Below are 16,176 nucleotides of genomic sequence, written 5' to 3'. Positions count from 1 at the left end.
CCTGAGGGCCCACGGGACTGTCAGAGTCGGAACGACAGCCACAGTCAAACCAGCTGATGCTCCTCCTGAGGGCCCACGGGACCGTCGGAGTCGGAACGACAGCCACAGTCAAACCAGCTGATGCTCCTCCTGAGGGCCCACGGGACCGTCGGAGTCGGAACGACAGCCACAGTCAAACCAGCTGATGCTCCTCCTGAGGGCCCACGGGACCGTCAGAGTCGGAACGACAGCCACAGTCAAACCAGCCGACGCTCCTGCTGAGGGGCCACGGGACCATCAGAGTCAGAACGACAGCCACGGTCAAACCAGCCGACGCTCCTGCTGAGAGCCCACGGGACCGTCGGAGTCGGAACGACAGCCACGGTCAAAGCAGCCGACGCTCCTGCTGAGGGGCCACGGGACCGTCGGAGTAGGAACGACAGCCACAGTCAAAGCAGCCGACGCTCCTGCTGAGGGGCCACGGGACCATCAGAGTCAGAACGACAGCCACGGTCAAACCAGCCGACGCTCCTGCTGAGAGCCCACGGGACCGTCGGAGTCGGAACGACAGCCACAGTCAAAGCAGCCGACGCTCCTGCTGAGGGGCCACGGGACCGTCGGAGTCGGAACGACAGCCACAGTCAAAGCAGCTGACACCTGTTGCACAACTTATGGATCTTTAGAGTGACCTAATGATGGAGGGATTATCATTGTCCCCATTCCACAGACGTGGAGATTGAGGCTCAAATAGGTTAGGAAAAGACCCCCAGTCCCTGCTATGGCCTGAACGCCTGTGTCTCCCCCAGATTCATATGTTGTAATTCCCACCCTCAAGGTGATGGTATTAGGAAGTGAGGCTTTGGGGAGGCAATGAGGTTATGGAGCAGAGCTGTCATGCATGGGATTGGTGTCCTTATAAAAGAGGATCAAGAGACACCAGTGGCCCCTGCCTGCCATGTGAGGACACTGAGAAGCAGGTGGTGTGTGCAACCAGGAGGGCCCCCGTCACCAGCACCTGATCATGCTGGCACCCTGATCTCAGACTTGCAGCCTCCAGGACTGTGGGAAATAACCTTCTGTTGTTTCTAACCCACCGGTCTATGGTACTTTGTTACAGCGGGGCAAACGGACAAAGACAGTTCCCATGTTAGCATCTGGCCACTGCTGTAACAAACGCCCACAAATGGGGTGACTTAAAACACTGCACATTCGGGCCGGGTGCGGCGGCTCACGCCTGTAATCCCAGCACTTTGGGAGGCTGAGGCGGGCGGATCACTGGAGGTCAGGAGTTCGAGACCTGGCCAACATGGCAAAACCCCATCTCTACTGAAAATGCAAAAATTAATTGGGTGTGGTGGCGCATGCACGTAATCCCAGCTACTCAGGAGGCTGAGACAGGAGAAGCTCCTGAACCCGGGAGGTTGAGGCTGCAGTGAGCCGAGATCACGCCACTGCACTCTAGCCTGGGTGACAGAGAGAGACTGTAAGACTCTGTCTCAAAAACAACAACAACAAAAAGCACATTTATTCTCTTATCCTTCCGGAGGATGGAGTCCAAAGTAGATCTCACTTGGGCTAAAGTCCAAGTATCAGCAGGGCTGCCTCTTCCAGAGGCCCCAGGGGAGAGTCCCTTTCCCGCCTTTTCTGGCATCTGGAGGCGCTTGCCTCCCTGGTGTGGGGTTGCGGGCTGAGGTCTTTCATCTTCAAATCCACCAGCACAGCCTCTTCTCTCTGACTCTCACCCTCCTGCCTCCTCTCTTGAGGACACTGTAATGACCTTGGGCCACCTGGGTCATCAGGATAATCTCTCATCTCAGCATCCTTAATCCCATCTGCAAATCTCTTGTTATTTAAGGTGACCCATTCACAGGCCTGGGAACGTCCTTGATCATTTAAGGCGACCCATTCACAGGACTGGGGACTGGGCTGGGAACGTTCCTGAGGTGCTATTCTGCCAACCACAGACAGTGGCGGCTTCCTTGGCACTCTCAATTTCTCTGTAGCCTGGAAGTAGGTGACATGGCTGGATAGGAGAGATCTTCAGGAAGTACAGTGTCAGAACTGGGTGAAATAAAATGATCAGGGCCGGCCGCGGTGGCTCACGCCTGTAATCTCAGCATTTTGGGAGGCCAAGGTGGGGGGATCACCGGAGATCAGGAGTACCAGACCAGCCTGGCCAACATGGCGAAACCCCATCTCTACTAAAAATATAAAAATTAGCCAAGCGTGGTGGTGGACACCTGTAGTCCCAGCTACTTGGGAGGCTGAGGCAGGATAATCACTTGAACCCGGGAGGCGGAGGTTGCAGTGAGCCAAGATCACGCCACTGCACTCCAGCCTGGGTGACAGACCGAGACTTTGTCTCAAAATAAATAAATAAATAAATAGACTGTGGCGTTTCTGAAAGAAGCAGAGAGTACCCTGTTTCTCATGGGGTGGCATCACCATTTACCAAGATAGGGAACATGGGAAGAGGAGCTTTCTTTTAAACATGAGAGTGGGTAATGGATTCTGGGATTGAAACTGTAGAGTTTCAAGGTGCTTCGATTTTTTTTTTTTTTTGAGACAGGGTCTCACTTTGTTACCCAGGCTAGAGTGCAGTGGTGTGGTCTCAGCTCACTGCAGCCTCCGACTTCCAGGTTCCAGTGATTCTCCTGCTTCAGCCACCAGGGTAGCTGGGATTAGAGGCATGCACCACTATGTCTGGCTAATTTTTGTATTTTTAGTAGAGACGGGGTTTCACCATGTTGGCCAGGCTGGTCTTGAACTCCTGACCTCAGGTGATCTGGCCACCTCGGCCTCTCAAAGTGCTAGGATTACAGGCGTGAGCCACCATGTCTGGCCGGTGCTTTGCTATTTCCAAGAGAAAATATACACCTACATCTGTACCTGCAACTACATCTGTGCCTGCACCTACACCTCTGCCTATACTTACCCCGTGCTGACACCTGCACCTAATCCTACAATGCACCTACACCTTTGCCTACATCTAAACCTGTGCTATACCTACATCTCTGCCTACACCTACAACTGTGCTACACCTAAACCTGTGCCTGCACCTACACTGTGCTACCCCTACACCTGTGCTACAACTACATTGTGCTACACCTACACCTGTGCTACACCTACACCTGTGCCTGCACCTACACTGTGCTATGCCTACACCTGTGCCTACACCTACTCCTGTGCCTACACCTACACCTGTGCCTGCACCTACACTGTGCTATGCCTACACCTGTGCCTGCACCTAAACCTGCGCCTACACGATTTCTGTAACATCCTCTATTAGAGCCAAGGACAGGTGATGCCCACCAAAACCAGCACGGTGCGGTGACTCACGACTGTAATCCCAGCACGTTGGGAGGCCGAGGTGGGTGGATCATGAGGTCAGGAGTTCAAGACCAGCCTGGCCAACAAGGTGAAAACCTGTCTCTGCTAAAAATACAAAAAATTCACCAGGCATGGTGGCAGATGCCTGTAGTCCCAGCTACTCGGGAGGCTGAGGCAGGAGAATCACTTGAACCCGGGAGGCGGAGCTTGCGGCGAGCAGAGATTGCGCCACTGCACTCCAGCCTGGCGACAGAGCGAGACTCCGTCTCAAAAAAATAATAAAAAATAAAATAAAAACAAAATAACCTGTATATTCTTTAAAACTCATCATTGCTGGGCTGGGCGTGGTGGCCCATACCTGTAATCCCAGGACTTTGGGAGGCTGAGGTGGGCAGATTACTTGAGGTTAGGATTTCAAGAACAGCCTGGGCAACATGGTGAAACCCCATCTCTACTAAAAATACAAAACAAATTAGCTGAGCGTGGTGGCGGGCGCCTATAACCCCCAACTACTCGGGAGGCTGAGGCACGAGAATCGCTTGAGCCCGGGAGGCAGAGGTTGCAGTGAGCCGAGATAGCACCCCTGCACTCCAACCTGGGTGATGGAGTGAGATTCTGTCTCAAAAATAAATAAATAAAAATAAAAATTAAAAATAAATCAAATTAAATTAAAGGGCTAGGCGTAGTAGCTCACGCCTGTAATCCCAGCACTTTTGGGAGGCCGAGGCGGGCAGATCACGAGGTCAGGAGATCGAGACCATCCTGGCTAACACGGTGAAACCCTGTCTCTATTAAAAATACAAGAATTAGCCGGGCATGGTGGCGGGTGCCTGTAATCCCACCTACTCGGGAGGCTGAGGCAGGAGAATCGCTTGAGCCCAGGAGGCAGAGGTTGCAGTGAGCCGAGATTGAGCCATTGCACTCCAGCCTGGGTGACAGAGCCAGACTCCGTTTCAAAAAAAGAAAGAAAGAAAGAACTTTGTGTTGAATTTCATGGCTTTTTTTCAATAGACCAACTTGCTCCTGTTTTTTCACTATGGGCACTGCAGCTTCAAACGATGCTTCTATACTTTTGGCCTCTTCTTGACTTTTGGCAACAAAATTTGTACTGGAAAACATTGCTTTGCTCTTGTTTAGGAAAAAAAGCAAATAAATTAACCAAAGAATTAAATGTGTGCTCTCTCTCAATGGACAGATAGATAGATAGAGATATACAGAGACAGTGACAGCTGGTATGAAAAATGAGGCAGCCGGAATGTCCACCAATAGGGGAGCAAGTAAACAGCGATGTAGTCCTGCAGGGGCATCACGATCCAAAAGAAGTTACAGGAATGAGAAATGGAGATGCCCACACCTATCTTTGAAGAAACGTGATGACATCTGTGACCTTGAACTGATAAGAAAACAAATTAATGATAAAGGGAAGGTTACTAAGGGTGTCAGAAATGCTGGGAAAGGGTGTCTATGGGCTCAGATCTCAGACAAAGCTGGTAGGGCAGTTTTCCAAAATACATCCATCGTCTGGGGGCAACACTAATAATTCTTTCTCAGAATATTAGGAGCAGGTGGCCGGGTGCAGTGTCTCACGCGTGTAATCCCAGCACTTTGGGAAGCCGAGGCGGGCGGATCACCTGACGTCGGAGTTCGAGACCAGCCTGACCAACATGGAGAAACCCCATCTCTACTAAAAATACAAAATTAGCCGGGCGTGGTGGTGCATGCCTGTGATCCTAGCTACTCGGGAGGGTGAGGCAGGAGAATTGCTTGAACCTGGGAGGCAGAGGTTGTGGTGAGCCGAGATCTTATTGCCCAATAAGAGTGAAACTCCGTCTCAAAATAATAATAATAATATTAGGAATAGGCTGGCAGTAGGAGTTTCTATAGATTCGGTTTGGCGTGAAACTTCAGGAAGAAGGGAATGCAGGCTGAATGAGTAACTGCCATGTGAAATCATATTTGCAGGAGGAAGGAATCTTCCCGTAAACTGGGTGCTGGCATGGGGTTGCCTTCTGAACAACTCTGCTGTGCCAGCCTTGCTGAGTCAGAGAACAACAAAGGCTAAAATAACTCACTGTCACACAGACTGTGTCACAGAAGGATTCCTACTAACAGGAGCAGAGTCCTGGCTTGATCATCATATAACCTCCTAATAAAGGCTGGTTTAGGGAGATCACCCTTATTCAAAGATGAGAAAGTAAAGGATGGGATTAAGGCCAGGCACGGTGGCTCATGCTTGTAATCTGAGCACTTTGGAAGGCCGAGGCGGGCAGATCACCTGAGGTTGGGAGTTCGAGATCAGCCTGACCAACATGGAGAAACCCCTGTCTCTACAAAAATACAAAACATAGCCAGGCGTGGTGGCGCATGCCTGTAATCCCAGCTACTTGGGAGGCTAAGGCAGGAGAATTGCTTGAACCTGGGAGGCAGAGGCTGTGGTGAGCCGAGATCACATCATTGCACTCCAACCTGGGCAACAAGAGTGAAACTCCATCTCTCAAAAAAAGAAAAAAAAAAAAAGAAAAGGATAGGATTGAAATAAAGATGTCACAGAGAAAATAAGTATTGTTTAAAAATCACCAAATACAGGCCAGGCACAGTGGCTCATGCCTGTAATCCCAGCAATTTGGGAGGCCGAGGTGGGCAGATCACTTGAAGTTAGGAATTCAAGACCAGCCTGGCCAACATGGTGAAACCCCATCTCTACTAAAAATACAGAAATTAGCCTGGCGAGTTGGCGGGTGCCTGTAATCCCAGCTACTTGGGAGGCTGAGGCAGGAGAATCGCTTGAACCCGAGAGGTAGAGGTTGCAGTGAGCCAAGATTGCACCATTGCACTCCAGCCTGGGTGACAGTGAAACCCTCTCTCAAAAAAAAAAAAAAATCACCAAATATTTAAATAAATTATCACAAAGCAGGAATACAGTTCATAGAAGATACAGAAAGGAAACAGAAGGAGATTAACATGAGGTTGCAGAATTTAGGAAAGAAATGGAAGAAAAAATGAAAGTCTAAATTAGTTAAAATGAAGTCTAAATTGCCTTAAGGAGAACTGACATTGCAGAAGACATAATAGTAAAAGGACATGGAAAACAGGATTGACAAAGCTAACACAATGCATGAAAATAGCAGATCATCATGAAGGGTCAGAGAGAAGATAATAGATTTGGAAGCTAGAAAAAGGCCATACTACATATATAAAAATGATATTCACGAAGAAGAGATACAAAATAATGGAACGCAGCAAATATTTAAATTTATAATTTAAGAAAACTTCCCAGAATTACAAGAAGATTTTCATCTATATATTGGAATAACTCACCATGTCCCAAGAAAAATGATACTAAATGGCTTATACCTGAGTGCATCAAGATAATAAGACCAAGAGACTTAAAAGGGAAAAGCCTCTCTCCAGACTTTATTTCAGCAACATTCATTGCTAGAAGTCAATAGAAAAATGTCTACAAAGTTCTGGAGGACTTAATGTTGAAGTAAGATGGTCTGGAGAAATAATTTTATACCCAGCCAAACTGTCATTAAAAAATAAAGACATTGGCCAGGTGTGGCGGCTCATGCCTGTAATCCCAGCACTTTGGGAGGCCGAGGCGGGTGGATTACCTGAGGTCAGGAGTTTGAGACCAGCCTGGCCAACATGGTGAAACCCCGTTTCTACTAAAAATACAAAAATTAGCTGGGCGTGGTGGCAGGCGCCTGTAATCCCAGCTACTCGGGAGGCTGAGGCAGGAGAATTGCTTGAACCCAGGAAGCGGAGGTTGCAGTGAGCCAAGATTGCGCCACTGCACTCCAGCCTGGGTGACAGAGTGAGACTCCGTCTCAAAAAATAAATAAATAAAATAAAGACATCAGACAAATGTCTTAGAGCATGCAAGAATTGAAGGAACTTCCTGAAGAAACTATTTAAGAATGACTTTCAGCCAACTGAGAGAAAATGGAGAAGCCACAGCAAGAGAACTGATGCTGAGAGCTGAGTCCATTCACCTTGAGGACTGGCATTAAATCAAATCTAAGAAGAGTGGCTACAAATGTAGATGTTATAAATCTTGAAACTAGAAAGGGTATGGTTAACAAAAAGTGAGGGGAGCAGAGATAATAGGAAGTGGTACAGTTATACACATTCCCCATCAAAAAAATTATTTTAAATGGATTATTCCAATAATAGAAATGTAAGTATATTTAAGAGCATAATGTTAAACAGGAAGAAAATCAATGTAATTAACTAGGATTCTGTTATGTAGGAGAGGGGGAATAGGGCAAAGCAGAAGTATCCTAATGTCATTTTTTTTAAACACTAGAGTCAATAGATAGAAACAGTGTCAGCATCTAAAGCTGTGCTGTGCAGTCTTGTAGCCACATGTGGTTCGCGGGCAAGTAAAATGTGGCTAATTTGAATTGTGATGTCCTATAAGTGTGAAACACACACCAGAGATTGAAAGCAGTATGGAAAACAGAGTGTAAATATCTCAATAATTTTATATTGATTACACATGGGAAAGATAATACTTTACAGATATTTGTATTAAATAACATATTACAATTAATTTTACTTGTGTCTTTTTACCTTTTTAATGTGGTTACTAGAAAATGTTAAATTCTATCACATTCGTGTTAGACAGTGTTGGTCTGAAGGAATGGAATTAAGTAGATTATATGAAATTATAATTATAAAGGTGATCACTAGAAGAAAAATACAAGCCATTTAAATTCTCAGAACAAGATGTAGTGGAGCTGTGGCACACCAGCCAGAAGATCCCCCCCAGAACTCAGCACTCGTCCTCCAGCCTCTGGAAGACAATACCTCTGGGAAATGTCCTTGCCTGAAGACAACTGGACCCCGTGGTCACCTTCTCTCCCTCCCCAATGACTGGTCAATGCATGGGTACAAAGCCTTTGTCCCGTGCCCCCGTAGGATACAGCTCTGAGGGGCCAGCCCAGCTCCACAGCCGAAGCCTCCGCGGTAACTGTGCTGCAGATCCTTCTCTCTCTGCCCTGCTGCCTTCACTTCCCCACAGGTGCCGATCCCGTGGGCCCTCGCGTCAGAATTTCCTGCATACAAATCTCTACCTCAGCATTCACTTCCTGGAGAATCTGACCTGCAAAAGGAGTTTGAGAAAGTAGATTCTAAAGTTGGATTTGGGAGCTAGATCACCCACCAGCATGCTGGTGGTGAGGCACCCGTGCCTCGTGGACGGGAACGCCGTGTGACTCACTGTGTCTTAGGTTTACTCCTACGTTCGCTCATAAGGTTGAGATTTGTCCTCTGATCCTTTCTGAGTTTAGCCTATTTAAGTCTCTCGATAGGATAAATGCTTCATCTTTGTTTTTCATCATATTTGTTACACTTTCTATTTTGTTTTGCTTTCTTTTGTTTTATATTTCTTTTTCTTTTTTAGTATTATATATGTGTGTATATATGTGTGTGTATATACACGTTTGTGTGTGTATATATATTTGTGTGTATATATATTTGTGTGTATATATATTTGTGTGTGTGTATATGTGTGTATATATATTTGTGTGTATATATATTTGTGTATGTGTTTGTATGTCTATATTTGTGTATGTATATATATTTGTGTGTGTATATATGTGTGTGTATATATATTTGTGTGTATATATGTGTGTGTATTTGTATGTCTATATTTGTGTATGTATATATTTTTTGTGTGTATATATTTGTGTGTATGTGTTTATATATTTGTGTGTGTGTATATATATGTGTGTGTGTATATATATGTGTGTGTATATATGTGTGTGTATATATATTTGTGTGTATGTGTTTATATATTTGTGTGTGTGTATATATGTGTGTATATATATTTGTGTGTATGTGTTTATATATTTGTGTGTTTGTATACATATGTGTGTGTGTATATATGTGTGTGTATATATGTGTGTGTATATATATTTGTGTGTATGTGTTTATATATTTGTGTGTGTGTATATATGTGTGTATATATATTTGTGTGTATGTGTTTATATATTTGTGTGTTTGTATACATATGTGTGTGTTTATATATTTGTGTGTTTGTATACATATGTGTGTGTGTATATATATGTGTGTGTGTATATATATGTGTGTGTATATATGTGTGTGTATATATATTTGTGTGTATGTGTTTATATATTTGTGTGTGTGTATATATGTGTGTATATATATTTGTGTGTATGTGTTTATATATTTGTGTGTTTGTATACATATGTGTGTGTGTATATATATGTGTGTGTGTATATATATTTGTGTATGTGTATATATGTGTGTATATATATTTGTGTGTATATATATTTGTGTGTGTATGTATTTGTGTGTGTATGTCTATATTTGTGTATGTATATATGTGTGTGTATATATGTGTGTATATTTTGTGTGTATATATGTGTGTGTATATATGTGTGTGTATATATATTTGTGTGTATGTGTTTATATATTTGTGTGTGTGTATATATGTGTGTATATATTTGTGTGTATATATGTGTGTGTATATATGTGTGTATATATATTTGTGTGTATGTGTTTATATATTTGTGTGTGTGTATATATGTGTGTATATATATTTGTGTGTATGTGTTTATATATTTGTGTGTTTGTATACATATGTGTGTGTGTATATATGTGTGTGTATATATGTGTGTGTATATATATTTGTGTGTATGTGTTTATATATTTGTGTGTGTGTATATATGTGTGTATATATATTTGTGTGTATGTGTTTAATATATTTGTGTGTTTGTATACATATGTGTGTGTGTATATATATGTGTGTGTGTATATATATGTGTGTGTGTATATATGTGTGTGTGTATATATATGTGTGTGTGTATATATGTGTGTGTCTGTATATATATGTGTGTGTGTGTATATATATGTGTGTCTGTGTATATATATGTGTGTGTGTGTATATATGTGTGTGTGTATATATGTGTGTGTCTGTATATATATGTGTGTGTGTATATATATGTGTGTGTGTATATATATGTGTGTGTATATATATGTGTGTGTGTGTATATATATGTGTGTGTGTATATATATGTGTGTGTGTATATATATGTGTGTTTGTATATATGTGTGTGTGTGTATATATATGTGTGTGTGTGTATATATATGTGTGTGTGTATATATGTGTGTGTGTGTGTATATATATGTGTGTGTGTGTATATATGTGTGTATATATATTTGTGTGTGTATATATATGTGTGTGTGTGTATATATATGTGTGTCTGTATATATGTGTGTGTGTGTATATATATGTGTCTGTGTGTGTGTGTGTGTATATTTGTTATTCTTGTTGTTGTTGTTGTTTTTCGGTAGAGATGGGGTCTCATTATGTTGCCCACGCTGGTCTTGATCTCCTAGGCTCAAGCAATCCTCCCGCCTCAGTCTCCCAAAGTGCTGGGATTACATGTGTGAGCCACCACACCAGGGACTATTTTTTTTTCTATTCATTCTCTTTTATGGCCTCTTCTCTCTCATTATGTTATACTTTCAATTTGTATTGCTTCTTGCTATGGTTTGAATGACGGTGTCCTTCCAAAATTCATGTTGAAACTTAATCCCCAGTGCAATTGTATTAAAAGGCGGGACCTTTGGCAGGTGATTAAGACATCAGGGCTCTGCCCTCAGGAGTAGATTAGCACCCTTACAAAAGGGCTTAAGGTCGGCAGGGCGCGGTGGCTCACGCCTGTAATCCCAGCACTTTGGAAGGCTGAGGGAGGGGGGTGGATCACCTGAGGTCAGGAGTTCGAGATCAGCCTGGGTAACGTGGTGAAACCCCATCTCTACTAAAAATATAAAAACTAGCTTGGTGTCGTGGTGCATATCTGTAAACCCAGCTACTTGGGAGGCTTAGGCAGGAGAATTGCTTGAACCTGGGAGGTGGAGGTTGCAGTGAGCCGAGATGACGCCATTGCACAGCCTGGGTGACAAAGGCAAAACTCCGTCTCAAAAAAAAAAAAAAAAAAAGGGCTCGAGGTCAAAGGGAGCACTCTCTGCCCATCCCCTCTGCCATGTGAGGGTTCAGTGTTCCTCCCTTTGGAGGATGCTGTACCAAGGCACCATTTTGGGAGCAGAGACCAGGCTCTCACCAGACACCAAAACTGCCGGCGCCTTGATCAAGGCTTTCCAGCCTCCAGAACTGTGATAAATAAATGTGTTCTTAAAATATGTATATATAAACTACCTCATCCGTGGTGCTTTATTACAGCAGCACGAATAGACTAAGTTTTTTTTTTTTTTTTGAGACGGAGTCTCGCTCTGTCGCCCAGGCTGGAGTGCAGTGGCGCGATCTCGGCTCACTGCAAGCTCCGCCTCCCAGGTTCACGCCATTCTCCTGCCTCAGCCTCCCGAGTAGCTGGGATTACAGGCGCCCGCCACCACGCCCGGCTAATCTTTGTATTTTTAGTAGAGATGGGGTTTCACCGGGTTGGCCAGGCTGGTCTTGATCTCTTGACCTTGTGATCCGCCCGCCTCGGCCTCCCAAAGTGCTGGGATTACAGGCGTGAGCCACCACGCCGGGCCTTGTTTGTTTTTTTAAACCTTTCAAAATGTGACTCATGTTTTGTGGCACGGGTTAGGTCTCCAGGAAATAGACTGCGAGACAAAGATTATGTGCAGGAATATTGTCGGGGTTACCCTTGGGGTCAACACCTGTCAGAGAGTGAAGGAAGCAGGGCTGGAGGGAGGGAGGAGCGAGCTGAGATGACCAAGCCGCCTCCAATCCTACAGGAGCTCTGCAGCCTCACGGTTGACCCCAGTTGGTCACAGGTGCCTGGGTCTTTATGGATCTGTACCAGCCAGTCGCTGATGTGGGCCGCCCCTCAGAGGGATACTTGACCCTGAGCAGAGGGGGAAGTTAGTGCTTGTGTAGGGGAGGGTTTGATGATGCACCCAGCATCCACCACAGGCCACCCCATGCACTACTCACAGCTCCTCCAGTATCTTGTGAGGCCTCTTTTTTCTAGGGAAAATTTGCAAGAACGACACTGCTTGGGTGAACTACAGCGTCCCCTGCCTCCCCGCCTCGGGGCTGCAATGGATTCATCACCCCCAGCTCCACCACGCAGTCTCCATCTGCTCCAAGAGGTGTAGCGATGCGGTGACCTGGACCCTCATCCCGGGACACCATGCCTCTGTCAAACTTGGGAGCTGCCCGGTGACCATGAAAACCAGGCAGAGAAGAAACAGGGAGCCTGGAGTGGAGGCACATGCAGGCGTATCTCCTCCAACGTGAGGTGTCCACTCAAACCACTGTGCCACGGCCAGGGGCACCCTCTCCAGCCTCTCCCCTTAAGCTCCCTGCTCAAGATTCGCTGCTCTTTATTTTCTGAGTTTTACTTCATTTTATGCTCATGGAATAATTGCAAGAATGAGTATAGTAGAAACCCTCCGTACTGGCCGGGTGCTATGGCTCACGCCTGTAATCCCAGCACTTTGGGAGGGTGAGGTGGGTGGATCACGAGGTCAACAGATCGAGACCATCCTGGCCAACATGGTGAAACCCCATCTCTACTAAAAATACAAAAATTAGCCAGGTGCGGCACATGCCTGCAGTCCCAGCTACTCCAGAGGCTGAGCCAGGAGAATGGCGTGAACCCGGGAGGTGGGGCTTGCAGTGAGCCAAGATTGTGCCACTGCACTCCAGCCTGGGCAACAGAGCGAGAATCCATCTCAAAAAAAAAAAAAAAAAAAAAAAGATTTACACAGGTTTATCTTTTCTGGCATTAACTTTTTTTTGTTGTTGTCGCTGTGGTTTTTTTTTTTTTTTTGAGACGGAGTCTTGCTCTGTCGCCCAGGCTGGAATGCAATGGTGCCATCTCGGCTCACTGCAGCCTCCACCTCCCGGTTTCAAGCGATTCTCTTGCCTCAGCCTCCCGAGTAGTTGGGACTACAGGTGTGCACCACCACGCCCGGCTAATTTTTTGTATTATTTTAGTAGAGATCAGGTTTCACCATGCTAGCTAGGCTGGTCTTGAACTCCTGACCTCGTGATCTTCCTGCTTCAGCCTCCCAAAGTGCTGGGATTACAGGTGTGAGCCACAGCGCCTGGCCTGTTTTGTTTTGAGATGGAGTTTTGCTCTTGTCGCCCAGGCTGGAGTGTAGTGGCGCAATCTCAGCTCACTGCAACCTCCGCCTCTCGGGTTCAAGTGATTCTCCTGCCTCAGCCTCCTGAGCAGCTGGGATTACAGGCACCCGCCACCACGCCCCATTGTGGCATTAACATTTCTGAAGAATACAGTCCCTCTTTTGTTTAACAGAATATTCCTTATTTGGGTTTGTCTGAAATTTCCTCATATGTAGATATGGGTTGTGCATTGCTGGCTGGATTCAGTGATGCCGTGTCCTGCTTTGGACACCACATCCAGGTGCACATGGTGTGCACCTGCCCTTTACCAGGGATGCTGAGTTTTATCACCCACCCAACAAGTGGCTTCATTTCTCCACTGCGACTAACAGTCTACGGAGACAGACTTTCAGACCTTAAAATATCCTTCACTCTTTTTTTTTTTTTTTTTTGAGACAGGTCTCACTCTGTTGCCCAGGCTGGGGTGCAGTGGCACAATCACTGCTTACCGCAGCCTCGACCTCCTGGGCTCAAGAGATCCTCCCACTTCGGCCTCCAGAGTAGCTGGGACTACAGGCACATTATCGTCATGCCCTCTAATGTTTAAAGTTTTTTTTTTTTTTTTTTGAAACAGTGTCTCACTCTGTTTCCCAGGCTGGAGTGCAGTGATCTTAGCTCACTGCAACCTCTGCCTTCCCAGGTTCAAGTGATTCTCTTGCCTTAGCCTCCACAGAATAGCTGGGATTATGGGCACTCGCCACCACGCCCGGATAATTTTTGTATTTTTAGTAGAGACAGGGTTTCACCCTGTTGCCCAGGCTGGTCTCAAACTCCTGACCTCAAGTGATCCTCCTGCCTCTGCCTCCCCAAGTGTTAGGATTAGAGGTGTGAGTCACCGTTCCAAGCCACAATACCCTTCTCTTCACCCAAGTCCTCATTTGACATCTATGTGATGATTCTTGCCAAGCCCTCTCCTAAGAGTCTTCCCTCGTTTTGCCAGGTGGACTCAAGCCCTTGTCTTCGGGCCCCTCCACCTGTTACAGCACAGCACCTCACTCTCTTATCTGTTCATGCTTCTCCCTGCTTCACAGGACCTCTGGCTACCCAGCACCCAGTTGAGGACTGCATAAGATATGTGTTTAGTTCACTGAATGACTGAATGAATAATAACAAATGAATAATAAAGGAAGGAACCAACTCTTGCACAAATCAGTGAGGACTCTTCAACACGAGGGCCAGAACCCTCAATCTCAATGATGTAAACCAAAAAAGGAGTGAGGGTAGACCCCTCCAGAGTGGTTCTTCTATCTCTTGGTTGGTGAATTCTCAGAGGACTGAGTAATGATTTTGCATCAGGAATCAAGGCTGATGCATGTCAAGTTCTCACTATTCATTGGCTGATCACTGGGAAACAGGAATGAGACTCATTCTCTTCTTCCTGGTCCCCAATTCCCTTCCTCCTGGTCCCCAATTCCCTTCTTCCTGGTCTCCAGTTCTCTTCTTCCTGGTCTCAGTAGGAACCGCCCTCCACTCATTTGCGCAAGCCAGACATCTGGAGGCCATCCTTCACTCTCTCCAGCTTCCCTCCATCAGCGAGTCTTGTGGTGTCCACCTTCTCAAGTCTCTCTGCACTCTGGTCCAGGCCCCACAGCTCCCACCTGGCCCCTGCCTCTTCACGCCCCACCCCTGCTTCCTATCCTCTCTCTGCATCGTGCGCCCCGAAGATTCACGGCACTTATCCGTCTCAAATTTAAGGTGTGGCGAGTCCTTGCCTTCCCATCCTCCACTCTAAACGCCCTGAAGACAGGCGTTAGGGCTGTCTCCTTCAAACCCTCAGGATCAGAACGTGCACGTGTTCCAGAAATGTTCAATCTGCGAAACGACGGACTGCAGAACCAAATGGCCCTGGGGTCAAGCCCACCTCCCTGCCTCCCGCCTTGGGCTCTCCGGCGCGGGGCCACCGTTTCTAAAACCTCTCCGACTGGTGCGCGTTCGCAAGCTCCCCGATTGGTTCCTCCGCGCGCTAGTTTGCTCATCACGGGTGCGAAAGTGCAGAAAATTCCAGAACCACGCAGCCCGGACACCAATTCTGGCTCTATCACTGACACTCTGGGTGGCCCGTCGCCCTGGGCCTCAGTTTCCTAGTCTGCCACGCGGGGTATTAACAGCGAGCAGCCGAGGGAATGAAGAGGTCACACAGGACCACGTGGTCCCCACGCAGGTGTGATTATCAGGAATTCGTATTTTTATGGAATGCAGTCTCCTCCGCCAAGGCCAAGGCCAAGATCAGGGTCCAGCAGAGACGGCCGGAAAGACACCGCAAGCTCGCCAGAAGCCGCCGGCCACGCTCGGCTGCGCGCCCGCGCCCGCGCCCGCGCACCTACTACGCGCCCGGCCCGCTCTCCGCCCCCTCCAGGCTCCGCCCCCTGCCCCGCCCTCCAGGCTCCACAGCCAATGAGTGCGCGGCCCCTCATCCGGGGATCCCGGCGCGGCCACCGCCTCCCGCGCACACACGGCCATGGCGGAGGTGAGTGAGCGGGCCGGGGGAGCCGGCCCCCCGCCCCCGCGCGTCCGCGCCCCCCGCCGCCGTGGCTCGGCCTCGTCGTGGGCCCCAGGGACGGAGAGCCCCGCTCTGGAGCTCTGAGGCCGGCCGGGGCGCCTGGCCCGTCCGGGGCCGGAGGGGCGCGGGGCTCCATCGGCGGCCGCCCCCGGCCGGCCCCCACCCCCCAACTCCCCCGGCTGCCACATCGCGGGCTGCAGTGCGCATGCGCGGCGGCGCGGGGCGGGCGGGGGCC

General features: G+C 47.3%; 1 protein-coding gene across 9 annotated transcripts in view, besides 4 other annotated features; it reads left to right on the top strand.

Moving 5' to 3' along the window:
- Positions 8,447–8,647: a silencer, noted in NCBI's record as "peak3208 fragment used in MPRA reporter construct". NCBI's record gives its function as "represses an SCP1 promoter by STARR-seq MPRAs in K562 erythroleukemia cells {active_cell/tissue: K562}" and the evidence as "EXISTENCE:reporter gene assay evidence [ECO:0000049][PMID:32103011]".
- Positions 10,807–11,007: a silencer, noted in NCBI's record as "peak3207 fragment used in MPRA reporter construct". NCBI's record gives its function as "represses an SCP1 promoter by STARR-seq MPRAs in K562 erythroleukemia cells {active_cell/tissue: K562}" and the evidence as "EXISTENCE:reporter gene assay evidence [ECO:0000049][PMID:32103011]".
- Positions 15,542–15,991: a silencer, noted in NCBI's record as "silent region_9599". NCBI's record gives its function as "represses an Ori minimal core promoter by ATAC-STARR-seq in GM12878 lymphoblastoid cells {active_cell/tissue: GM12878}" and the evidence as "EXISTENCE:reporter gene assay evidence [ECO:0000049][PMID:35858748]".
- The window catches only part of MIER2 (MIER family member 2), a 39,224-nt gene continuing 38,933 nt past the window's right edge, over positions 15,886–16,176 (top strand). For all 9 annotated transcript variants that reach the window (NM_001387154.1, NM_001346105.2, XM_047438972.1 and 6 more), the window contains exon 1: positions 15,886–15,908. Coding sequence is in view for 3 of the 9 variants with exons in the window: in NM_001387153.1 (NP_001374082.1) it covers positions 15,900–15,908 (9 nt within the window). In the remaining 6 variants the exon portion in view is untranslated. The remainder of the gene's footprint in view (positions 15,909–16,176) is intronic.
- Positions 16,062–16,111: a silencer, noted in NCBI's record as "silent region_9598". NCBI's record gives its function as "represses an Ori minimal core promoter by ATAC-STARR-seq in GM12878 lymphoblastoid cells {active_cell/tissue: GM12878}" and the evidence as "EXISTENCE:reporter gene assay evidence [ECO:0000049][PMID:35858748]".

Source organism: Homo sapiens, chromosome 19 (assembly GCF_000001405.40).
Source record: "Homo sapiens chromosome 19, GRCh38.p14 Primary Assembly".
Lineage (NCBI taxonomy): Eukaryota > Metazoa > Chordata > Mammalia > Primates > Hominidae > Homo > Homo sapiens.
This window is presented reverse-complemented; position numbering and strand designations above follow the sequence as displayed.